Consider the following 27571-nt stretch of genomic DNA (forward strand, 5'->3'; position numbering starts at 1 on the left):
CTTAATCCCAGGAGTTTGAGGCTGCTGTGTTCTATGGTCATACCTGTGAGCAGCCACTGCACTCCAGTGTGGACAACATTGCAAAACCCTGTCCTAAAAAAAACAAGAACAGCAAGAACAACAACAACAACAACAACAACAACTTCTGCTCTGTGAAAGACCTGTTAAAAAGGATAAAAAGCTACAGTACAGACTAGGAGAAAATACTTGCAAATCACATATCCAACAAAGGATTTATATGTAGAATATATAAATAACTCCCAAAATTCTATATTAAAAATATCCAGTTAGAAAATAGGCAAAAGATATCAGTAGAAATTTAACCGAAGATGATATATAGATGGCAAATAAGTACATGAAAAAAATGTTCAACATCATTAGCCATGAGCAAAATGCAAAACCACAATTAAATACAACTACACATTTATTAGAATGTCTAAAATTGAAAAGACTGACCATATTAAGTCTTGACATGGATCAGAGAAACTAGTTTACTCAGCACTGCTGGTAGGAATATAAAATGGTTCAGCCATTCTAGAAAATAATTTTGCATTTTCCTCTGAAACTGAAGATGCACTTACCACATGACGCAACATTTGCACTCTTGAGCATTTATCCCAGATAAATGAAAATCTGTGTTCTCAAAAATACTTGTATGTAAGTGTTCATAGCGGCTGTAGTCATAATAGCCCCAAATTGGAAACAACCCAAATGTCCTTCAATGGATGAAAGACAAATGTCCTATGTCCATATCATGTAATACTGTTCAGCAACAGAAGGGAACAAATTATTAATATATGTAACAACTTGAATGAACCTCAACTAAATTATGCTGAGTGAAAATAGCCAGTCTTAAAAGTTTACATAAGATATGATTTTGTTTATATAGCATTCTTGAAATAACAAAATTATAAGTGTAGATAACAGATTAGTGGTAGCCAGGGATTAGGGATGATGGGGATAGTGGTAGGTTTGGCTATAAAGGGATAGCAGGGATCAGCTTTGTGGTAATAGAGCAATTTTGTATTTTGATTGTGTTGATATGTAATGAAGCTACATTTATGATAGAATTGCATGGAACTGTAACACACACACACACACACACATGAGTGTGTATACAATTGGTAAAATCGGAGTAAGTTCTGTGGATTTTACCAATGCAATTTTCTAGTTTTGATAGTGTGCTACAGTTACACAAAATGTCAACAAGGGGAGAAGTGAGGTGGTGTTAAGTTTGAATAGGAACTCCCTACACATTTCTTTGCAACTTTCTGTAAATTTATACTTATTTCAAAATAAAAAGTTTTTATGTTTTTTTGTTTGTTTGCTTTTTGTTTTTTGAGATGGAGTCTTGCTCTGTTGCCCAGGCTGGAGTGCAGTGGCATGATAACTCACTGCAACCTCTGCCTCCCAGATTCGAGCTATTCTCCTGCCTCAGCCTCCAAAGTAGCTGGGACTACAGGCGCATGCCACCACCCTCGGCTAATTTTTGTATTTTTAGTAGAGACAGGGTTTTGCCATGTTGACCAGGCTGGTCTTGAACTGACCTTAGGTGATCCACCTGCCTTGGCCTCCCAAAGTGCTGGGATTACAGGCGTGAGCCACCGCACCCAGCCATTTTTAGTTTAAAATAAATTGTGTAGTTTTTTTTATTTATTTAGTAAATCTGGTCACTGCATCTTTTTCCCTATTATTGTAATAAAACTGTGAAGTTTTGTGAATTAAAAATGACACTGTATTTGTAATATCAGAATGCCTTGATAATAAGGTTATAGAGGTTTCCTAATGATATAATGACCTAACATAATTTTGAGTTCATTTGCCTAAGCTCACAGGACTAATAACAAAACAAAAAAACTTATCAAGGTAAAGAAATTGATTGCGTAAGCTTAACAGTAATAATTGTACTTGCGTTAGCTAGTGAATTATGTGATAACACTTATTCTAAAAGCTAAAAGCATGTATTGGCTATAAATTTTGATAATAGTACAAACATTTTAAATAACAAATATTCTAAAATATAGTGTGATGGGCTGAATTGTGTCCCCCTCCCCAAATTCATATACTGAAATGTTAAAGTCCTAATCTCCAGTACCTCCTACAGTAATTATATTTGGAGATAAGGTTTTTAAAGAGGTCATCAGGGTAGCCCCTAATCCAATCTGACTGGTGTCATAAGAAGAAGAAATCTGTACACAGACACCTACGGACACCATGTGAATACACAGGGAAAAGGCAGCCACCTGCAAGCCAAGGAGAGAGACCTGGAACAGATCCTTCCTTCACTGTCGGAGAAGGAACCAATCCTGTTGACACCTTGATCTCAGATTTCTAGTCTCTGGAGCTGTGAGAAAATAAATTTCTGTTGTTTAAGCACTCAATCTGTGGTACTTTCTTTCAGAAGCCCTAGCAAATTAATAAATGTAGTAAACCCCATATATATTGCACAATATTATTCAGTTACTTTAAAAGATTTGCATGTTAAAATTAAGTTAGGCTTTAAAATCAAAGTCCAAAACAGAAACAGCATTCCTAGAAAAGGAAATTGCTTAATATTTTCTTGCTGATAATGTATGCTGAACATTGAGTAGCAGGTATGAGTAAAATATTTCCTATTCTAGCAAATGAATATCACTTTATGTAATTGATATTTTTTAAAATGAAGTTTTTATAGATGAAATTTTCTTAAACAAGAGCATACTTATTTTAATAAAATTTCGGGAAAAATATTTTTACCAAGGAAAAATACTTATCAGGCGAATTCCACTCCCAACACAACTGTTGACTGAATAGTTGTTGAACTTTTAAAATTCAAATCTAGAATTAGGCTTAGAAATGTAGTCCACATTTTTCACAAAATTTATGAAATTAGGGATAGAATTGATCAATTATTTTATTCAATTAAAAATGTTTCTTTTGGATATGTGTTTTAACTGCCTATCCTACTCTGACATTTAAAAATGTGGAGCTCAAAATGCCTGCCTCTGAAATGAAGGCTGAGATAAACACATATTCAGGATCTTCAACTAGTGGTATATTAAAAACGATTTAGAAGCTTTGCTCAGCAATGCCTTTACTAATTTATTAGGCATTTATTGAGCTCTTGTTAATCCTAAGACATCATGGTAGAAATTATGGGGGAAATAGAAATGAATAAGATACTATCTATGGCCTGAAATAACTTATAGTCCAATAGTAGGTCACATGTATGCATGTGTTCAGTGCAATACAAATGATGTAAATTGCTGTGAGTTCCAGGAAGATGAAGATCACATCCAGATCAGGTCCAAAAAGATTTCTGCACAGAGGTAACATTTGAGCCATGATAGCTGAATATATGAGGATAGGAGGACCTTCTTCATGGGATGGTGCTGAGACAGGAAAGGTTCAAGGTGGATACAATGACCAGTATAGGTTGACCTTGTGGGGATCTTAATTTCTGAACCCCAAATCGGGACACATGTCTTACAAGTATGGAATTGTATAATGGCAAGGGTAGAATTGAATCTTTGACCCAGGATTGCCATAGGCAAAGGAGTGTTTATTTTGCAAAAGGTAAGTTAATTCATCTCCATTGAGTTTACTTTTTCCTAACTCCATGTTAGTAATGTTATAGCTTCTGTTAGTTTTGAAATCTTGATGTACTTTTCCATGTCTTAGAATATATTTTACAAATAAATTTGTATTGCAGATTTTTATTCTTTAAATGTTAGATAGAAAGTCACATTGACATGAGTAGTTATTTTAGAGTATAGTGTATGCTAACAGAGCCTGCTAACCTGAGCAGTGTCATTTTGGCATATGATAAATAGGTGACACCACGTGTGTGGTGCTGTGCAGTGTCATTTTGACTTAAACATAGATATCGTTTTGGTATGTTATAGTTTATTCAGCCTTAAGAAGCCACCTTTTTGGCTACAAAAATACCCAGAAAGACTTTTTAGGTACGTAGGGAAACTGTAACCTCCTTATTTTCTTTAACTCCATTCTTTTAAAAATTTTATGTACTGTGTGTTAGTAGTTTTCCTCACACAAATTGGGGCATAGTCATAAGTTTTTAGCAGCATATAGCTATTTTGAGGAAAAAAAAATCCCACATAAAATAATCATTAGACTATATTAGAATCCCACTTATTTGGTTTCTGCAATTTATTTCTCTAGGTTTTCCATTTTGAGCAGAAACTAAACATAGAGAAAGTGCCAGACCCCTTGTGCTTATTCCCCAGGTCTATCACAAATGCCACTTTTTCTCCCAGACATGCTTTCTACCCCATTTTGCTTTTCTCTCCTTGTACTACATTCGTGATCCTCCTCATCACGATCCCTTAAAACATGCTCTTTTTTCCTGTGCTCTGTTCTAGCTCTCTGCTTTACTTCTCCTATAACCATTTGCTGGCCAAATTACCTCTACTGCATGTCTGTCCTATGTATCTCTACTTGTGGTCTTCACTGGCCCACATGGTTGCTGTTTCTGCTGTGGTGGCACCAAGAGCAATAAACGAAACCAACCACTTTTGACATCTCGTCACATGTTGAACCTATCACATAGTCCAGGATGGGCTAACCAAAGAAGGGAATTCCAAGTGAAATGTCTGAAAAAGCAGACTGTCCAAATTTTCATCTAAATCACATGCTCATCAATTCAATTAATTGTGGTTGTACAAATTTCATAGCATTTATTTTATCTTTGTTGAGTGTGTGTTCATGTGTTTTAATGATAGTTTAAGGCAATAGTGCAGAAAAGACTGATGAACAGGGAGCTTATTAATTATTCTGAAGGATAATATGCTCCATGCATTTCTCATGAAATTGTATAAAATTAGCATATTTAAATCTAAGTAGAGCTATAAAGATTTTTATTAAACAATCTAAATAGAATAATGACATGATTATTATGAATTCTGGTCTTATTGGGGGGGATACAGTACTATTAAAATCATTAAGATATTATTAACTAATGCTTTCTTCCCCTAAATTTATTAGTTTTAGACACTACATCCTTCTGTCCACTCTACTCCTAAAATCTTTCTTCATAATTTGTAGAGAATGTATTCTAGTTAACCCCTTAGAAATGCCACCCAACCAGCTCATGCTAGAACATTTAAATTTACTTTTCTGAATCATGTTGCTTAAAAAAAAGATCATTTCAATAAAACCTATAACATTACACAGATATTATTCATTTATGTAAGTATTTAAAAAGCAGGCTGTATTACCACTTAATACAATTTAAAAGCTAAAAAAAATACTGTTAAAAGATTTCATGCATCATGTAGCAATAAAACTTTTTTTATCGTTTTCAGACTGACTACTGAATTTAAATTTAACTTTTTAGTTAGATGTCATTATAATCTCAGAAATGTCATCTTGCCTTTCAACTATTAATTTTCTAAAAGAAACTAATCAATCTTTAGAGAAATGTTTTATGATTCAATTATTGGCTATTTGTAAACTTTGAATTCTTCTTACAGAAATAGACATACTGAATAAAAGTTTGACAGTATCCCAGAGAAATAAAGTATGCCTTGAAAAGGAAATGAAAAATCTGAAATTGTTGTCAGATGCAGCCATATTGAGATCTCAGCAGATTCGGACATCTAGACAACAGGAAGTAAACTTGCAAACCAGATGCTATGATTTGCAAAAAGAAGTACTAGGTAAAGAAAAGTCTTTTGCTGTTTTTGGTGACTAGTTATATAAGTACATGAATAAATGTTTACATTTTTACTTATAATTACAACAAAATCTTGTTTTAATTATTTTGAGTTGCAAATATGCCTAATTATTAGTATCACTATGGTGATAACTGTGTCTGTGGTCAATACTTGCTGTCATCATTTCCAGTTTTGCCATTTAGTGTGGTAAGACTTAAGTGAATATATAAAAGACATTTCAACTGCAACGTAAGATTTCAGAAAAATAAGGCGAAATTTACTTTGGTATATCTGTGCTCTTCTATGTTTCCTTGTAAAGGTGAATCCAGAATTGCAGGCAGTCCTTCATTTTTCCAAATGAAAAAATTTAAAGTGTTTGAAGCATCTTGGGCAAGGTTTTAAAGTTTGTCTCCACCTCAGAGGAATGAGTGTCTTGACAGTAAATGTAAAGAGTTTGTAATTTTCCCTGAAGATAGTAAGGGATCAATAAAATAGGTAATCAGAAGAATGATATCACAAAAGCAGAATTTTAGACAAATTAATCTGTTAGTAATGAATAGAGGTGTTTCAAACATCAAGACACTGGAGTCAAGTAGCCATTTTGAAAATATCTTTGCCAGTATCCCAATCCCAAGACTAACCATAAGAAGCTGAAGTAGGGAAGGGAACTCACATTTTTTTAAGTCCTAAGTGTGCTAGACACTTTATGTGAATTATTTCTATCTGTTCTCATAACGACCATGAAAAGCTGGTATAATTATCCTATCTTACAGAGGAGAGAACCAAGGCCCACAAAGTATCATGACTGGTACTACGTTCCTAGTAAATGGCAGAGAGTAAAAGCAAAACCGGTTGGACTTCAATGCTCATGCTTGTCCCACTGTGTCTATTTAGGCTTCTCCGTGGCCCAGTGGGAAGGGTGAGATAGAATCAGGGTTGAGGTGACTACCTAAGACCAGGGAGATGAACATCTGTCTGAGTAAACACAGAAGAGAAGGAAGTCAGAAAGGGCTCTGAACCTCCTGTGTTTGGGAGTCTTTAATGATGGGAGCATACCACAGACTACAGAAATCTGGAGAGAAGCTAGTGTTGAAAGAGAAGATAACAAGTCATCATATTAACTTTATAGCAGTATGCAACAGATAAAAATTTTAAAATCAGATAAAATTTAAAATAATCATATATTTTTATTTTCTTTCCTGAGAACTACCTACTCATAGATTCTGGAAATTTTCTATTGCATTATTGGAATTTTTCTTGATAATTTTATAGCAAATTTTATACAGTATAAATATTATATTCTACATTTGATTTTTTTCAAATGCATAATTTATCTATTGACTTTTTATGGTAAATTTTACCATATCGAAGTTTTTTGTTTTGGTATAATCAATAATTATCTTTTATTGTTTCTGGGTAGTCTTATTAAAGTAGTCCCATTCCTAGATAGTACATACAGTATCCTGGGTTTTGTTTCCCAAGTGAGTCATTAATACATATAGAATTTATTTTGATTTTATTTAAAAAATCTAGTCAGCTATTTGAAATTTTTTGTTTTTAATTTTTGTGGGTACATAGTAGGGGTATATATTTATAGGATACATGAGATATTTTGGTACAGGCATACAATGTATAATAATTATGTCACGGTAAATGAGGTGTCCTGCCTCAAGCATTTGTCCTTTCTTTGTTTTACATACAATTAATTTATACTCTTTTAGTTATTTTTAAATGTACAATATTATTGTTGACTGTGGTTACCCTGTTGTGTTATCAAATACTAGCTTTTATTCATCCTGTCTAACCATATATTTGTACCCATTAACCATCCCCACTTTCCATCCTCTCAACCCTGCCCCATCACCCTTCCCACACTCTGGTAACCACCATTCTATTCTCTATTGCCAGAAGTTCAACTGTTTTAATTTTTTGTAGTTTCTACAAATAAATATGCAAAATTTGTCTTTCTCTGGCTGGCTTATTTCATTTAACATAATGACCCCCAGTTTCATCTGTGTTGTTGCAAATGATTGTATCTCATTCTTTTTATGGCTGAATAGTATTCCATTGTGTATATTTACCCCATTTTCTTTATGTGTTCATTTGTTGATGGACATTTGGGTTACTTCCAAATCTTGGCTATTGTGAATAGTGCTGCAATAAACATGGGAGTGTAGATATCTCTTCAATATACTGATTTCCTTTCTTTCAGTATTATAACTACCAGTGAGATTCCTGGACCATATGGTAGTTCTATGTCTAGTTTTTTGAGGAACCTCCAAAGTGTTCTCCATATTGATTATACTAATTTATATTACCACCAACAGTGTTCAAGGGTTCGCTTTTCTCTATAACTTTGCCAGAATTTCTATTTTCTGTCATTTGGATAAAAACCATTTTAACTGAGGTGAGATTATATCTCAGTATAGTTTTGATTTGCATTTCTCTGATGATCAGTGATGTTGAACACCTTTCCATATACCTGTTTGCCATTTGTTTGTCTGCTTTTGAGAAATGTCTATTTAGATCTTTTGCCCATTTGTTTAAATCAGGTTATTAAATTTTTTCCTATAGAGTTGTTTGAGCTGCTTGTGTATTCTGGTTATTAATCCCTTGTCAGATGGATAGTTTGCAAATATTTTCTCCCATTCTGTGGGTTGTCTCTTGACTTTGTTGATGGTTTCCTTTGCTGTGCAGGAGGTTTTTAACTTGATGTGATCCCTGCAGAATGTTTTTAACTTGATATGATCCCATTTGTCCATTTTTGCTTTGGCTGCCTGCGCTTGTGGGGTATTACTCAAGAAACTTTTGCCTAGTCCAATGTCCTGGAGGGTTTCCCTAATGTTTTCTTTTAGTAGTTTCATAGTTTGAGGTCTTAGATTTAAATATTTAATCCATTGTGATTTGATTCTTGTATATGGTGAGAGATAGGGATCTAGTTTTATTCATCTGCATATGGATATCCTGTTTTCCCAGGAGCATTTACTGAAGAGACTGTCCTCCCCCAACCTATGTTCTTGGCACTCTTGTCAAAAATTAGTTCACTGTAGATGCATGAAATTGTTTGTATGTTTTCTGTTCTGTTCCATTGGTCTCTGTGTCTGTTTTTATGTCAGCACCCAGTTGTTTTGTTTACTATAGCTCTGTAGTATAATTTGAAGTCAGGTAATGTGATTTCTCCAGTTTTGTTATTTTTGTTCAGTATAGCTTTGACTATTCTGGGTCTTTTGTGATTCCATCTAAATTTTAGGATTATTTTTGTTATTTCTGTGAAGAATGACATTGGTATTTTGATAGTGATTGCATTGTATCTGTAGATTGCTTTGGGTAGTATGGACATTTTAATAATATTGATTTTTCCAATCTATGAACTTGGAATATCTTTCCATTTTTTTGTTTCCTTTTCAATTTCTTTCATCAATGTTTTCATTTTGGAGAACTTTTACTTCTTTGGTTAGGTTTATTCCTAGATATTTTATTTTATTTGTAATTATTGTAAATAGGATGATTTTCTTGATTTCTTTTTCAGATTGTTCACTGTTGTCATATAGAAATGCTGCTGATTTTTGTATGTTGATTCTGTATCCTGCAACTTTACTGAATTAGTTTATCAGTTCTAATAGTTTTTATGGAGTCTTTAGGTTTTTCTAAATATAAGATTATATCATCTGCAAACAAGGATAATTTGACTTCTTCCTTTCCAATTTGGATGCCTTTTATTTCCTTATCTTGTCTGATTGCTCTAGCTAGGATTTTCAGCACTGTGTTGAATAATGGTGGTGAAAGTGGGCATCCTTGTTGTGTTCCAGACTTAGAGGAAAGGCTTTTAATTTTTCCCTGCTCAGTATGATACTAAATGTGGACCTCTTATATATGGCTTTTATTATGTTGAGATATGTTCCTTCTATACCCAGTTTTTTCAGGGTTCTTATCACGATGGCATGTTGAATTATATCAAACGTTTTTTCAGAATCAACTGAAACGATCCTATGATTTTTGTCCTTCATTCTGTTAATATAATGTATCACACTGATTTGCATATGTTGGACCATCCTTGCTTCCCTTTTATTATTGGCCTGTTCAGGTTTTGGATTTCTTCATTGGTCAGTCTTGGTAGATTGTATATATCTAGGAATTTATTCATTTCTTCTAGGTTTTCAAATTTATTGGCATATAGTTGCTCATAGTAGCCTCTAATGATAAACAATATGTTCCTGAATAGCCAGTGGGAATTTCTGCAGTATCAGTTGTAATGTCTCCTTTTTCATGTCTGATTGTATTTATCTGGGTCTTCTCTTTTTTTTTCTTTATTAGTTGGGTTAAAGGTTTGTTAATTTTATCTTTTCAGGAGACCAACTTTTCATTTTGTTGATCTTTTGTATTGTTTTCTTCAGTCTCAATTTCATTTATTTTTGCTCTGATCTTTATTTCTTTTCTTCTAATTTTGGACTTGGTTTTCTCTTGCTTTAAGATGCATTGTTATGTTGATTTGAAGCTTTCTACTTTTTTGATGTAAGTGCTTATTGCTATAGACTTTCTTCTTGTACTGCTTTTGCTGGATCCCATAGGTTTTGCTATGTTGGTGCAAGATATAGTGGTCCAGATTTACTCTTTTCCAATTGTATCAGTATTATGTATTAAATAATTTATCCTTTTCTCACTACATAGAACTACTATCTGTTGTATGTTAAAATTTTAATATATACAGATGCTCCTTTACTTACAGTGGGGTTATGTCCCAATAAACCCATCCTAACTTGAAAATATTGTAAGTAAAAAAATGCATTTAATGCTGGCAACACAGCAGATGATCCCACCTTACCATGATTCAACTTACAAATTTTTGACTTTACTGTGGCATTAAAGCAATATGCATTCAATAGAAACCAGAACCCCGTCGTAATTGGTAAGGAGCCTCTCAACTCATGATGGGGTTACATCCTGACAAACCCATCATAAAGTCAAAAAATCATATTGAACCATAAGTCAGGAACTGTCTGTACTAGCAACTATTACTATATTCTGTCTTCTGTTCCACTAATTTATTTGACGCACCATTAATATTACATTGATTTGAATATGACTTATTAGCATATTCTTTCAGGTGCTAAGCCCTTTCTGTCTCCACCATTCTTACTTTTTAAATACATATTTGCAGACAGTTAGTCTTTCATTTTAACTTTAATATAATTTTATTTACCTCTAATCCACAGGCTCCAAGAATTACCTAGTAAAAGTTTTTCTCTCTCTACTCATTACATCTTTCCCACATATTCAAAGGAAGTTATTCTTCCACATAAACTTTAAGATGATTTCATTCACCTCTAATGCCAACAAGGATTCTAATTTGAATTGCATTATATTTATAAACTAAGTTTTAGAAAATTAAAAATTTTGGTAATATTGTCTTTTGAATATTGTAAGTCTTTTCATTCAAAAATATGGTATGCTCTTTCATTTTTAATGCTATTATATGTTCTTTAATAAGATGTAATAGTTTTACTTAAATATGTTTCTTTGCCATTCTTGTTAAATTTGTTACTGTCAGTTTTGCCTCTACCATAAATAGACTATTTTTCCTATTTCAATTTTTGTTGATAGAGTAGACAAAAGCTATTTATTTTTATATATTTGTTTTATATCCATGCACCTCACAAAATTCTCATATTAATTCTACAGTAGACATTTTTTATTAGTGACTCTTGGGCCTACAACTTCCCAAAAGAGTTCATCTATTTTTTCCCAGTGTTTATATCTGTTATTTTATTTTCTTGTCTCCTTCATATCTTATTAAATTCATCTGAAGCTCTGACACTCTGTTAAATAATAATGCTGACAGTGAACGTTCAATCTGTCATTGATGGGCACTTAGGTTGATTCCATGTCTTTGCTATTGTGAATAGTGCTGCTATAAACATTTGCATGCATGTGTCTTTGTGGTAGAATGCTTTATATTCCTCTGGGTATATACCCAATTATGGGATTACTGGGTCAAATGGTAGTTCTGCTTTTAGCTCCTTGAGGAATTGCCATATGGCTTTCCACAATGTTGAACTAATTTACACTCCCAGCAAGTGTATAAGTGTGTCCTTTTCTCTGCAAACTCACCAGCATCTGTTACTTTTTGACTTTTTAATAATAGCCATTCTGACTGGTGTGAGGTGATATCTCATTGGCACTTGATTTGCATTTCTGTAATAATCAGTGATAGTGAACTTTTTTTTCCTATTTGGCCTCATGTATGTCTTCTTTTGAGAAGTGTCTGTTCATGATCTTTGCCCACTTTTTAATGGGCTTGTTTGGGTTTTTTTCTTGTAAATTTAGGGTACTTTTAGATCCTTGATAATAGACCTTTGTCTGCTGCATACTTTGCAAATTTTGTCTCCCATTCTGTAAGTTGTCTGTTTACTCTGTCGATAGTTTCTTTTGGTGTGCAGAAGTTCTTAAGTTTAATTAGATCCTATTTGTCAGTTTTTGCCTTTGTTGCAATTGCTTATGGTGTCTTTGTTACTAAATCTTTGCCCATTCCTATGTCCAGAATGGTAATTCCCTAGGTTGTCTTCCAGGGTTTTTATAGTTTTGGGTTTTACATTCAAGTCTTTAATACATCTTGAGTTGATTTCTATATATGGTATAAGGAAGGGGTCTAGTTTCAGTATTCTGCATATGGCTAGCCAGTTATCCCAGCACCGTTTACTGAATAGGGAGTCTTTTTCCATTGCTTGTTTTTGTCAGCTTTATCAAAGATCAGATTGTTGTAGGTTTGCGTTTTTATTTCTGTGCTCTCTATTCTGGTCCATTGGTCTGTGTGCCTGTTTTCGTACCAGTACCATGCTGTTCTTTTGGCTTCAATATTTACTAGCTGTGTTATTTTGCATAAGTTAAACTCCTCTGGGCCTTAGTTTCTTTATTTACAAAATGGGTATAATAACAGTCCCGACCTTCTAGGGTTTTCACAAGGATTTTACAAGAATTCTCAAGTAGAGAATTGTATTTTACTTCATATTTCAAAGGAACATTTAGTAAGACTTGATCACATACTCAGCATAAAGAAAAGCTGTTTGTTTCAGTTTACTCACATTTAGTTAAAAATTGCTACATCAGTTTTCATAATAGAAATAGGCCTTTATTTCTTTATTTTAATATCTTTGTCAGATTGTGGTTACAGGTCACTATGGCCTTGTAGAATGAGTTGGGAAATATACTTTAATTTTTGGCTCTTTCTAAAACATTGTATAAAATTAAGATTCTCTGTTTCTTGAAAGTTTGGTAGAATTTGCTTAGAAAACCATCTGGCCATATCTTTGTGGGAAGACACTGCTTCAATTTATTTAATAGTTACAGAACCTTTTGATTTTGTTGAGTCAATCTTAGTAACATATATTTTTGTATTAATATATCCATTTCACCCAAGATTTCAAAGCTGTTGGCATGAGGTTGTTCAGAGCATTATTTTCTTATTATTTCTTCTTCTTTATTTGTAGTTACTGCCCCTTTTTCATTTCTTATATTGTTTTGATTACTACAGCCTGGTAGTATAGTTTGAAGTTGGATAATGTGATGCCTGCAGCTTTGTTCTTTTTGCTTAGGATTTCCTTGGCTATTCTGGCTCTTTTTTGATTCCATATGAATTTTTAAATAATTTTTTCTAGTTTTATGAAAAATGTCATTGATAGTTTGATAGGAATAGCATTGAATCTGTAAATTGCTTTGGGCAGTATGGCCATTTTACTGATATTGATTCTTCCAATCCATGAGCATGGGATGTTCTTCTATTTCTTTTTGTCATCTCTAATTTCTTTGGGCAGTTTGTAATTCTCATTGTAGAGACCTTTCATCTTCCTAGTTAGCTGTATTCCTATGTATTTTATTCCTAGGAATTTTGTGTGTGTGTGTGTATGTGTGTGTGAGTATGTAAATTGTAAATGGGATTGTGTTCCTGATATGGCTTTTGGCTTGGCTGTTGTTGGTGTATAGGAATGCTAGTGATTGTACATTGATTTTGTATCCTGAAACTTTGCTAAAGCTGTTTATCAACTCAAGGAACTTTTGTGTCAAGACTGAGGAGTTTTCTGGATATAGAAACATGTCATCTGCAAACAGAGATGGTTTGAGTTCTTCTTAACCTATTTGAATGCCTTTTATTTCTTTCTCTTGCCTGATTGCTCTGGCTTAGGACTTCCAATGCTATATCGAGTAGGAGTGGTGAAAGAGGGCATCCTTGTCTTGTTCTGGTTTTCAAGGGAATACTTCCAGCTTTTGCCCATTCAATATGATGTTGGTTTTGGGTTTGGCATAGACAGCTCTTATTTTGAGGTCTATTCCTTCAATACTTAGTTTATTGAAAGTTTTTCACATAAAGGGAGGTTGAATTTTATCAAAAGCCTTTTCTGCATCTATTGAGATAATCATGTGGTTTTTTTCTTTAGTTCTATTTATGTGATTAATCACATTTATTGATTTGCATATGTTGAACCAGCCTTGCATCACAAGGATGAAGCCTACTTTATCACGACGTGTTAGCTTCTTGATGTGCTGCTGAATTTGGTTTGCAAGTATTTTGTTAAGGATTTTTGCATTGATGTTCATCATGGATATTGGCCTGAATTTTTTTGTGTGTGTGTCTCTGCCAGGTCTTGGTATCAGGATGATGCTGACCTCATAAAATGAGTTGGGAAGTTCTTCCTCCTCGATTCTTTGGAATAGTTTCACTACGAATGGTTCCACTTCTTCTTTGTACCTCTGGTAGAATTCAGCTGTGAATCCATCAGCTCCTGGGGTTTTTTTTTGGTTGGTAGACTGTTTATTACTGATTTAATTTCTGATGTTGTTATTGGTCTGTTCTGGGAATCAATTTGTTCCTGGTTCAGTATTAGGAGGGTGTATGTGTCCAGGTATGTATGCATCTCTTCTAGGTTTTCTAGTTTGTGTGCATAGAGGTATTTGTAGTAGTTTCTGATGGTTGTTTTTATTTCTATGGGGTTAGTGGTAACATTTTCTTCTTCATTTCTAATTGGGTGTATTTGGATCTTCTCTCTTCCTTATTAGTCTAGCTAGTGGCCTATCTTATTAACTTTTTCGAAAAACCTACTTCTGGATTCATTGATCTTTTGAATGTTTTTGTGTGTCTTTATTTCCTTCCATTCAGCTCTGATTTTGGTTATTTCTTGTATTTTGCTAGCTTTGGGGTTGATTTGCTCTTTAATAGCTTAGAATTGTGAGATTCTAATGCTTCAAATAATTTTTTACTATTGGGTATAGTATAAGGAATGAACAAATCAATTTTTCATCTTTGAGTGTATGAAAGTTGTATTCAAATGAATTACTTGTACTTGTCACTTGAAATAGTCAAAATGATATATAGGGTTTTGATTTTATGAACTAGAAAAAGTAGGGAATTGATGTGGCAAGCTCTATTTAAAGATACACTCTTGCATTCTTGAGAAAACTGAAATTCTTCTCATATATCCTGGATTTTCCTCTCGACCTGGAATAGCTGCTGATGGGATGGCCCCAGGAGTTGTAGATTCCTGGAGACTTTTTAGAACTAGAAGCTATTTTTAGCTAAATGGAGGCACATCGAAACCATGTGAGAGTAGTAGCAACAAAAATGCATTTTTGGAATTTATTATACCAGGAGCTGTTAATGCTGACAATATAAATACTTGTGAAATTCTTTAATGTATAAATGATAGATTCTCATGAAAACTGTGAAGTTTTGGAGTTTAGCTTTGATCTTTTTTCCTTCAAAAACGCTGTCAAAGCTAAATATTTCAAATATTTATAAGATCAATAAAAAACGAAACTACTAAGGTAGTGATTTTCATGTATCAGATTAACAAAACCCAAAAGTATGATAGCAGATTGGGTTGGTGAGGCACTCTAATACATTTCTGGGTGGACTATAAATTGGTACAATTACTCTAGAGACTAGTTTTCAATATTTGTCTGAAATACAAATGAACCCCCTTCCTTTGACCCTGGACTTCCTTTTCCAGGAATTAACATGTAGATATGCCTTCTTATAAATGAAGTAACAGATTTGCAAAGTTATTCTTTGAAGCATAGTAATACCAAAAGACTGCAAGCAACCTAAAACATCATGATAGGTGACTGGTTAAATAAATTGTGCAGTATTCAAACAGTAGAGTCCATATAGCCATAGAGAGAGAGAAAGAGAGAGACAGAGAAAGTTCCTTGTTCCTTGGAGAGATAGAGAGCTCCAAACTATATTGTCAAACAAAGAAAGGAAGATACATAACATTGCATATGCACTGTGGTATAATTTGTATACAAAATATGAAGTGAAATATATGTGTATTATTATTTACTTGTACTCTCTATAAATTTTTAAAATCTTTGGAGATATATATACAAGAAACTAACTACAGTATTTATTATTTGGAGGCAATCAGAATTAGGTGAATGAGAGATGAATGAGGGGAGTCTTTAAAAAAAAAAGCTTTATTTTTTATAGCAATTTGAGATTTACTGAAAAAAATGAAAAGATAATATAGAGCATTCTCATATATCACTCCCCCCAACACACAGTTTCCCCTATGGTTAACATTGTACACTAGTTTAGTGCATTTGTTACAATTAATGAATGAATATTGACATATTATTATTTTTTCCCTCAATTTTTATTTTAAGTTCTGGGGTACACATGCAGGATGTGCAGGTTTGTTACACAGGTAAACGTGTGCCATAGTAGTTTGCTTCACAGATCTCATCCTATCACCTAGGTATTAAGCCCAGCATCCCTTAGTTATTCTTCCTGAAGCTCTTCCTCCCTTCAACCCCCCAGTTGACAGGCTCTAGTGTGTGTTGTTTTCCCCATGTGTCCATATGTTCCTATCATTCAGCTCCCACTTACAAGTGAGAACACTGGTTTGTGGTTTTTGGTGTTTGGTTTTCTGTTCCTGTGTTAGTTTGCTAAGGATAACAGCTTCCAGATCCATCCATGTCTCTTCAGAGGACATGATCTCATTCCTTTTTATGGCTGCATAGTATTCCATGGTGTATGTGTACCACATTTTCTTTATTTAATCTATCATTGATGGACATTTAGGTTGATTCCATGTCTTTGCTATTGTGAATAGTGCTGCAATGAACATATGCATGCTTGTATTTTTATACTAGAATTATTTATATTCCTCTGGGTATATACCCAGTAACGGGATTGCTGGGTCAAATCGTATTTTGGCCTCTAGATCTTTGAGAAATCATGACATTGTCTTCCACAAAGGTTAAACTAATTTGTACTCCCACCAACAGTGTAAAAGCTCCTTTTTCTCACAACCTTGCCAGCATCTGTTGTTTCTTGACTTTTTAATAATCACCATTCTGACTGGTGTAAGATGGTATCTTATTGTGGTTTTAATTTGCATTTCTCTAATGATCATGATGATGAGCTTTTTTTCATGTTTGTTGGCTGCATGTATGTCTTCTTTTGAAAAGTGTCTGTTCATGTTCTTTGCCTACTTTTTAATGGGGTTGTTTGTTTTTTCCTTGTACATTTTTTTAAGTTTCTTGTAGACTCTGGATATTACACTTTTGCCAAATGGATAGATTGCAAAAATTTTCTTCCATTCTTTAGGTTGTCTGTTCACCTATTAATAGTTTATTTTGCTGTGCAGAAGCTCTTTAATTAGATCTCATTTGTCAATTATTGATTTTGTTGCTATTGCTTTTAACATTTTCATCATGAAATCTCTGCCTGTACCTACGTCCTGAATGATATTGCCTAGATTTTCTTCTAGGGTTTTTATAGCTTTGGGTTTTACATTTAAGCCTTTAATCCATCTTGAGTTGATTTTTGTATATGGCATAAGAAAGGGGTCCAGTTTCAGTTTTCCACACATGGCTAGCCAGTTCTCCCAGCACCATTTATTAAATAGGGAATCCTTTCCCCATTGCTTGCTTTTGTCAGGTTTGTCAAATATCAGAGGTTGTAGGTGTGCTGTCTTATTTCTGAGTTCTCTATTCTGTTCCATTGTTCTATATGTCTGTTTTTGTACTGGTACCATGCTGTTTTGGTTACTATAGCCTTGCAGTATAACTTGAAGTCGGGTAGCATGATGCCTCCAGCTTTGTTCTTTTTGATTAGGACTGCCTTGGCTAGTCAGGCTCTTTTAGGTTCCATATGAATTTTAAAATAGTTTTTTCTAGTTGTGTGAAGAATGTCAATGGTAGTTTAATGGGAATAGCATTGAATCTATAAATTACTTTGGGCAGTATGGCCATTTAAATAATGTTGATTCTTCCTATCCATGAGCATGGAATGTTTTTCCATTTGTTTGTGTCCTCTCTGATTTCCTTGAGCAGTCATTTGTAGTTCTCCTTGAAAAGGTTTTTCATTTCCCTTGTTAGCTGTATTCTTAGGGTTTTAAAAATTTTTTTTATAGTAGTTGTGAATGGGATTTCATTCATTATTTGGCTCTTGGCTCACCTGTTGTTGATGTATAGGAATGTTTTTGCACATTTATTTTGTATCCTGAGACTGCTGAAATTGCTTATCACCTTGAGAAGCTTTTGGGCTGAGACAGGTTTCTAGGTGTAGGATCATGTTATGTGCAAATAAAGATAATTTGACTTCTTATTTTCCTATTTGGATATCCTTTATTTCTTTCACTTGCCTGATTGCTCCGGCCAGAACTTTCAATACTATGTTTTATAGGAGTGGTGAGAAAGGGCATCTTTGTTTATGCCAGTTTTCCAGGGAAATACTTCTAGCTTTTGCACATTCAGTATGATATTGGCTGTGGGTTTGTCATATATGGCTCTTATTATTTTGAAGTATGTTCCCTTAATGCATAGTTTATTGAGAGGTTTTAACATAAAGGGATGTTGAATTTTATCAAAGGCCTTTTTGCCATTTATTGAGATCATCATGTGGTTTTTGTCTTTAGTTCTGTTTATGTGATGAATCACATTTATTGATTTGCATATGTTTAACCAAGCTTGCATCCCAGGGATGAAGCCAACTTGATTATGGTGGATAAGCTTTTTGATGTGCTGCTGGATTCAGTTTGCCAATATTTAATGAGGATTTTTGCATTGATGTTCATCAGGGATATATTGGCCTGAAGTTTTCTTTTTGTTGTTGTTGTTGTTGTTGTTGTTACATCTCTGCCAGGTTTGGCTATTAGGATGATGCTGGTTCTTATGGCCAGACAAGTTCAGCACTAGCTTAAAAATAATAATAAGGAATGTTGGGAAAAGGATGTTCATACTGTAGAATAGTTAAAAAAAAAAAAAAGTAAGTAGCTTACATTTTCAAAAAGAACAGCATTTGTGAATTTTTTTAGTTAGTCACAATCAGCCAAAACTAACTTTAATTCAAACAGTAAAGTAATTTATTGAAAGGATATTAGATATTCAGAATATCTAAGAGGGTGGAAGAACCAGGCTGAGAAAGTGGTTAGGAACCCAGTAAAGGGAGGCTGCTAGATTCACAGCCAAAATCATTCCACAAGAACTCTCTGGTGAGGATGTAGCTTCTGTGTCCCTAAGACATTGGACACCTACCTCACTTGCTTTCTCCTCTGGTCCTGAACAGCAGTTGATCCCTCTACTCCTTCAGCTTCTTGGCATCAATTGCTCTTGGATCAGATCTTGGGAAAAATATATTTTTAAAAGCCTGGAAGTGAAAATCCATGTTTGGCCACCTAGCCCTAGCATATTTAAACTATGTTTTTATAGGGATGTTCTGCTGCTGCGAAAATGGCAGTATATATCTTTAGAACAGTGTAGCAAATCCAGAAGTAGAATCAGATATTAATGTAAGCATCATTAACAATGGGGAAAAAGCAAAATTATATAATAAGTGCTATAGAGATAACCAAAGGAAATAAACATTACATCAAAATAAGCCTCAAGGCAAACTAGCACACAATAAAAATATACAGAATGTATCCTAATTATGGAGGGATAAAGCAGCACCTTAAAAATTGCAAAGAGTAACACTGACAGAATTTGTCTATTAAAAAGGTAGAATTTTTTAGTTCAAATCTGCCAAACAACCTAAAAACAGCAGACTGACAAAAAAGTATTTGTTTCATATATGATATATGAAGTGTTAAAATCCACACCATGTAAAGGATTTATTCAACTGTGTAAGAAAACTCCAAGACCCCAAGCAAATGGGTGAAAGACAGAAACAAACCATTAACACAGGAAAAACACATAATAAACACAAAATGTTCAATTACTAATAACTAACTAAATAAAATTCTACTTTTTAAATTAGTACAAAGACTTTAATGGTAAAGTTTTCCTTCATTTGGTGACATAAGTTATTACTGTATTTTTTTCACCCCACAGAAATGTTTGTGATTAGTTATCTCCTTTTTGATAATTTATACTTAGAAAACAATCAGAAGAAGAAAATTATTTTTGTGGAAAGATCACATTTATAATAGTGAATAATTAGAACTAATTTATGCCCAACACTAATGATAGGAGTAATACATTATCCCATGCCAACATTTAGGACATTACGCAGACTTTTAAAATGACAATATGACCACTGGGCATCAACATAGAAACATGCTTATGATTATGTTACAGTGTAAAAAGAATCCACAAAATTATATGTGTAATATAATTACAGTTACATCAGAATAGGTGTATTTGTGAACAGAAACCAGAAAGGAACTTGGAAATATGAGAATAAATTTTAGGTGATGGAAAGGAGTAATTTTTTTTCTCTTTTAAATTTTTTTCTGTTGGTGTTTTAGCAATAAACTATCTTCAAAAAAGAAAAAAAAAATCACCCAACACATCTTTCAAGATTTAGCTCACATTCTACCTCCTACAGTGAAAAAAAAAACTCCTCAAAACAATACAGTACTGTAATTAGCCACAGTTTTTATACTCATTAAGATTTTACCTTTATTAAGTCCAGTCTATATCCAAAGCAAACGTACAGTGTAGATCAGTGTTCTCTGTACTTTTCAGATGTTTTCAGTCTTCATATATAGGTTATGCAGTTGTAGATAGAATATAGCCTCTTCTAAAAGGCAGTATAATTGCAGAGCAAAGAGCTATTTTTATTTATTTATTTATTTCCTTTCTCTCTTTCTCTCTCTCCTTTTAAAGAGAGGGTCTTGTTTTGTCACCCAGCCTGGAATACATGATCATAGGTCACTGTAACCTGAAACTCCTGGCCTCAAGCATGAGCCACCATGCCTGACCCCACATAATTTCAAGACTAAATTAGGGTTTCATTTTTGCTGCTGGTGTTGAATAGATTCACACCATGGATAACACCCAAGCTGTGATAACAGAGAAAACATTTTTGAAAGGCTGTTACATTTCTCTTGGTTGAAATCATTTAAAATTAATAAGTCAGAAGTGGACAGGATTATTAGCCCTATTCTCAACTAGCGATGACAAGTACCACTTCACTACGTACCTATCTGTGAAGGGTACCAGGTTGGTTTTTTTGTTTTGTTTTGTTTTAACAACCAACAATCTTACTCATTCTCATATCAGGGTCCCCATATAGAAATTGTCAAAACATTTAGAAACATGTTCACAAGTGTACTTCTTGCTTTATCCACAGATATCTTTCTGGTGAACTGATTATACCAACATATTTTTCTTCCCAATTCATTTGGCAAAAGTATTTACAGTGGTTTAGAAAGACTATAGAACTACAAGTTCAGGAAAGACAGCAAAGTTTCCATCTCAGATTTTGCAGTGTTTTATTGCAAAGTAATTATAACTTTCTTCTTGTCTCTAGGGTCCATGAGGGACTTTCCTGATTTTCCCACCTCCAGTGCCCCAAGCCTGCCCCTTTGCTCCCTTCCTACCACCTATTTCCTACTTGTTAGAACCTGATTTTATCTCTGCCTACTGTCTATTAACCTATTCACTAGCTTCTAACCACAATAGATGTTCCCATCTATTGACCTTGGGCTGACCATGTCCTGGAACTGATTTCATTTTTTCAGCAAGTATTTATTGGACATCTCCCACACGCCAGCCAACGGGCCTTCTCTTCACCTTGACTTCTAGTATGCAGGTGTCCTTCAACTCTTCATGGGTCTTCACAAGACTTCTCACCTCCTAGCTTCACACTGGTTTTATATACAGGTACTTTTAACTTTAGTGATTCTCAACAAGGTATTTTTTTTGTCTCCTGTAAATTTCTCTAGTTCCAATTATGTTCCCATTCAAATCGTTTTGTTTGGCTTTACTTTCTCTACCATCTTATGACATTTACTTTCATAATTTTAATGAACTTCAGCCATCTTCTTAATCTGCTTTCTTTTAAATGCATGCCTAACTTTTGTTATTAGCTGACTTATGTCTGTAAGATTTTGTTATCTTGATAAGCACCATTCATAGCTTTTCCAGCTTATTAAAGTCTTCTCAGATATCATGTTAAGCTTTTGAGAAAAGGAAAAACCAATACATTACAGTGAATATCTTCTCCCCAGATAAATCATCAGGTTAATATAATGGACATAGTATTTTAGATTTTCTTTGGGCACATCAAATAAGGGCAGACTGATACACCACTCATCTCTTCTTTCTTTTGTCCTGTTTTTAAGAAAATAATTGTTTGTTTAAAGAATATATTAGAAATCACTTAAATTCACTTTTTGTTATGAACTTTCTAAATGGCTTATTTTAATTAATAATCATAAGTTCAATTCTAAGCATTTGCATTGTTTATATACTCTTTCCTATAAGCCATTTTACCAACTTCTCTGCAGTTGTAGAACTAACTTTAAGTGCTAAGTATCACAATAAGGCTTCTTTTGTGGTACTAATTGAACATCTTCCTTTCTGTGTTCCTGGCCTAATTCTCTGCCCCACCTTCTATCCCACCACTCTGCCTTTTTTTCTTCAGAGAATTCAAACTCTATACTATCCATTTCCCCTGAATATTGCAATCCCTTCATTCATTTCACTTGAATTTCTATACTGTGGCCTTTTATTATCCATGCCTTTAGTTGTTCCTTATTCTTTCTTAGGTTATCTCTCCTAATCAATGAGTTAACATTTTATCCTTTTTTTAACTAACATGAAATATATATTTTATACCTGAATTTGTTAATGTTTGCTGAATATTATGTCACTATTGTGCTTCCTTATATTTTAAAAACTGTTCTAATATTTTATAGTCCCTTATTTCTTACTTTTGAATTCACTTTTAGAATAAACTTTATCTTTCTTCATTTCAAACTATGTAAATATCTCTCTGCTGTACCTTTCATCCCCCCCACCCATGTTCCCTACCAATGTGGTATTAATTGAAAGCATGCTAAGCCAAGAATCAGAACATGATGACCCTTTCACACATTAGGCAGGTGACTCTGACATGCCATTTATCCTTAATGAATATATGTCCACACCTAGGCAATGAATGGATAGAACTAAGACCTTGGAAGGCCCTTTGGGCTCTGATATGCTATGATTCTGGTTCTAACTCTGATGGCATTTTCTTGTTTCCAAAGTTAAATAAATGCTCATATTTTTCACATTTTGTTACTTGTTTCCTTGTAAATCACCACTGAAAAGTTTCAGCTTTGATTCAAGTATATGATTTTTGTTTGGTTGGTTGGTTGGTTTTGTTTTGAGATGGAGTCTCACTCTGTTGCCCAGACTGGAGTGCAGTGGCGCGATCTCGGCTCACTGCAACCTCCACCTCCTGGATTCAAGTGATTCTCGTGCCTCAGCCTCTGGAGTAGCTGGGATTACAGACATGCGCCACCAAGCCTGGCTAATTTTTGTATTTTTAGTAGAGACGGGGTTTCACCATGTTGGCCAGGCTGGTCTCAAACTCCTGACTTCAGGTGATCTGCCCTCCTAGGCCTCTCAAAGTACTGGGATTACAGGCGTGAGCCACCATGCCTGGCCCAAGCATACGGTTTTTATGATCATTACTTTTCTACATGAAAAACTTTTAACTTTGTTTTCCCCACATTTTTTCCCTTTATTTCTGTCTTGAAATAGAGATGCTCAAAAATTTAAATACATGTGTTAATTCTGGTGCATATAGTTTAATAGTGGTTTAGGAGTAAATAATGGGCTATCAATAGCAACCTAACTCTTAATGCCAAAATTTGATTTTTTCATAGAAAAGCCAACATATGAAGTAAAAATTTGAAGACCAAATTTTTTGTTTCCTTTTGAAGATTTATTTACCTAAGTTCTGTAATTTTATGTTTAGCTCACACTAATAACTTCCAAAATGCACAATTTATCTCAATTGATATAATCCTCTCAGAGGTCATTGTGACCCACAGTCAGTCTACTTAAATGATTTTCCTTCCACCTGCTAGAATAAAATGTCCTTTACTTTTTGTCAGCAGTCACAAATATTGGAAGACAGAGTTCAAATAAGTCACTTCAGCATTCAGCTTATTTTTAATATCCTTCCTTAATTTATTTTACCAACTTTCAAATTTATTCCAAGTGAAAAAACTTTTGACTTTTTAATTTTAGTAAGCTGTTCAGTATAGTAAATAACACAAATACTTTAAAAAATGATTTTGCATATAACATTTTAACATCCTAATTGAATCTTTTAAAACAGCTTTACAGAGATAAAATTCACAAATTACAAAATTCACCCACTTTAAGTGTACAATTCAGTGGTTTTTAGGATATTTGCAGAGTTGTGTGACCATCAGCAAAGTCGAATTTTGGGAGATTTCTTTCACACCAAAAAGAAACTTTGTGGCCATCAACAGCCACTCCCCTTACACTCCTGCCCCTTTCCAACAATCCTTAACCTACTTTCTATCTCTATAGACTTACCTATCCTGGACATTTTATACAAATAGAACCATACAATATGCGGTCTTTTGTGTGTGGCGTCTTTCACTTAGGATAATGTTTGTGAGTTTCATCCATGTTGTAGCATATGTAAGTACTGCATTCCTTAATTAGTAGCTTGTTTAGTGCTTGTGATTCAAGTCACAAAATGAGTGATGTGGTTCAGTTGGAAAAAATACTGAGCTGGGATCCAAACAGTTCTGCTTTCTGGTACTGTTTAGGCCTTGTATAGGCCCTTTGAATAAGTTATTAATTTCTATGTCTCAGTTACTTCATCTGTAAATTGGGAATATGGTAGCTTTTCTTACCTACCTTAATACATTAGAATAGGCAAGATAAAATGTAAGATCATCTAAAGAACTATATATTCAAATGTATTTTAAAGTAACTTTCCTGATGTGATAGCAAACCAAATGATTATATTTAGTATACAAGCATTCAAATTTCTTTAAATACTACTTTAATTTCAGAAGAAAGCTATACATTTTAATTTCTCTTTGCCCAAAGGTGTATTCACCTCGACTTGTTTATTTTCTAGTCAGCCCTGATTAGCTGTAACAGTAGTCTGCCTGCTCTTAGAAAAGGTTACTGAAGAAGAGAGTGCCTATGTTTAATTCAGGAGTCATCCGTCTGTATGGCAGATAGAGATCTATGAACACAGATCCACAAGGACCTTACCTGCAAGGTCTGATTTTCAGAGAGCACTCACTGTAGTGACTTGATCAGCCTTTATGATTCCTTTTGAACTGTTGGACTTTAGTTGGAATAATATGACCTTGGCTTCAAATAAAAGGGGAAAGTGCTGATTTTACAAACAGAAAACCAAGGAAGTTTGTAATTATTTTTAGTTGTATTAAATCCAACAGCCCTTAAAAGAGACCAGCTTGATAATGAACCACTGTGGGCTGCTTCTGTGTCCAAAAGTAGATGGACAAAAAGTTTAGCCTGATCTCTAGACAAATTGCAAGCCAGGCAGTATTAACTAAAATTCTAAGAAATCTTTTTTAGAACCTGATCACCATTTGAAATGTGAGTCTTATAAAGGGATCTCCTGTGGAAGCCATGTGATCTTTGATCACTGGAGTCGTCTAAGATTATCTTTGTTTTCTTGCCTTTTCATTTGCTCCCAACATTGAACTTTCATCTAAAGATTACCACTGTTTTATGTATCATCTCCATTTTATTAATGTTTGAATCATAGAGGAATTTTCTATAATGATCATAGGCATCTACTCCTTATAATGGTTGTCATTCATCTGAGACTCCTTTCTCTCCTTTGAGATAGCTGTAATTCTGGTTCATTCTCTAGTCATTTTTCATTTGTGCCATTGCAACCTTCTCTCCTTGTTCTTTACCTCCAACATCATTTTCTTATTCTAAGGCTAGACTTTAGCTCTACCACTCTCTTTGCCTTTTCTTTAACTGTACCATAGGACCTTGGGAATAAATTTTAGACTTCATTTTTTAAATTCTATGGCTTCTGATCTTTGCCTGATTTCCTAAATTCACCCCTCTCAGATAGTTTGCCCCTTGCATTCTTTCTCCCATTATATATACTTGTAGCCTGAGGTGTCTACATCATCCCATCCCAATGTTGTCTCCTTCTGCTCATTCAGATACCAGTTTCCAATTTATTTAGTCATTCAGCAATATTTATTAGGCACCTGTCATAAGATTAACACTAGGCTTGATCAGGAACAACTATGATAGATGTTCTGTCTTCTCTGTCATACACGGCTTCTATACTAAGCATGATTCATCCTCAGGGAAACCTCAGCTAAGCAGTGAATAGAAAGGAGCTTTAATCTGTTCCTTCCCTAACACCTACGTGGGCACACTCCTCCCTACACACACAGACACTTTTACACATGGACTCACCCAGGCACAGAACATACCGGCTGCTCATAGACATTTACAGCTCATCCACATTTATGGGCTGACAGCATATGAATAATAGTGACAGTGTCTAAATGAGGAATTAATGATCTCTCCCCATACTCCCACCCTCTTGCCCAATGTCTCTTACCTCTTGGCAGCATCTCTAACATCTCTCTACTACTAGCTAATCACTGGTACTATCTTAACATCATTAAAAAAATCATTCCTGTGAGTTCAGGTAGATTTCCTACTATAATCTAAATAGCAGCTGACATTCACATACCACTTGCCATATGTCAGCCATAGGTACCCCCTTACTATCACCCTCCTGGGTTAAGCACTTTTATTATCTCCAGTTTACAAATGAAATTACTAAGGCCTAGAGGAATTCAGTCATTTGCCCAGGACTACACAGCTACTAATCAGCAGAACTGGAACCTGATTCCAGAACTTTACTACCAGATTTCCACTGCCTAGGAGCACCAAAGCATATACATTGTTATCATTAATGTATGCTTCAGAGTGAGCTACTGTATCAGGCCACTTCCAGCCTGGCTGATGGTAAACATAAGCTTTTATGTGGGGAAGGCAGAAGAGGTCTAGAGGAAAGTGGATACCTGATGATGGCTTACAAGAACCATCCATGGCTTGCAAGATGAGTTATAAGATGGGTATGAGTATGTTATATAGTTTAGTATTAGGCTACTTTAATATGATGGTTTTTTGTTTTCCCTTACCAAAATAAGACATGTTCACTATTGATTAGGAAATTCCAACTTTCAGATAGAATTATAAACATTTGATGTGAATCCTTCTAGACTTTATTGTTTGAATATATAGTTTTATAAAATTAGGATAAAAGAGTTTTATTATCCGTACCCTTCCCCCCTCCTATTTTCTTTATTATGAAATCCTTCCATGTCAAAAATATTCATAGTATTCTGTTGTTTGGATTAATCATAATTTATTTGATCCTACCCTATTATTAGATAGTTGTTCTCACTCTTTTTTATTAAAATATTATGATAAACATCCTCATAATTAAATTTTTATATATCTCTGAGTATTGCCTTAGAATTCCTTTAGTCTTAAAACTGTAAAACATATTTGTGTTGTTTTGTTGCTTTTTACTTTTATATTATGTAATTGTGTGGTAGAATTAATTCTTAAGAGTGCAGTTAGTTCAGAGTAGTTTTGTAGCATGAAAAGACTCTTTAGAAGACAAGGAGAAAACTCCTTGTCTT

General features: G+C 34.1%; 1 protein-coding gene across 1 annotated transcript in view; it reads left to right on the top strand.

The window, feature by feature from the left end:
* The window catches only part of LEKR1 (leucine, glutamate and lysine rich 1), a 219777-nt gene that overhangs the window by 110705 nt on the left and 81501 nt on the right, over window positions 1-27571 (top strand). Inside the window, exon 6 of the mRNA NM_001004316.3 lies at window positions 5472-5657. Within this exon, the coding sequence (NP_001004316.2) occupies window positions 5472-5657 (186 nt within the window). The remainder of the gene's footprint in view (window positions 1-5471; window positions 5658-27571) is intronic.

Source organism: Homo sapiens, chromosome 3 (assembly GCF_000001405.40).
Source record: "Homo sapiens chromosome 3, GRCh38.p14 Primary Assembly".
In the NCBI taxonomy this organism is placed as follows: domain Eukaryota; kingdom Metazoa; phylum Chordata; class Mammalia; order Primates; family Hominidae; genus Homo; species Homo sapiens.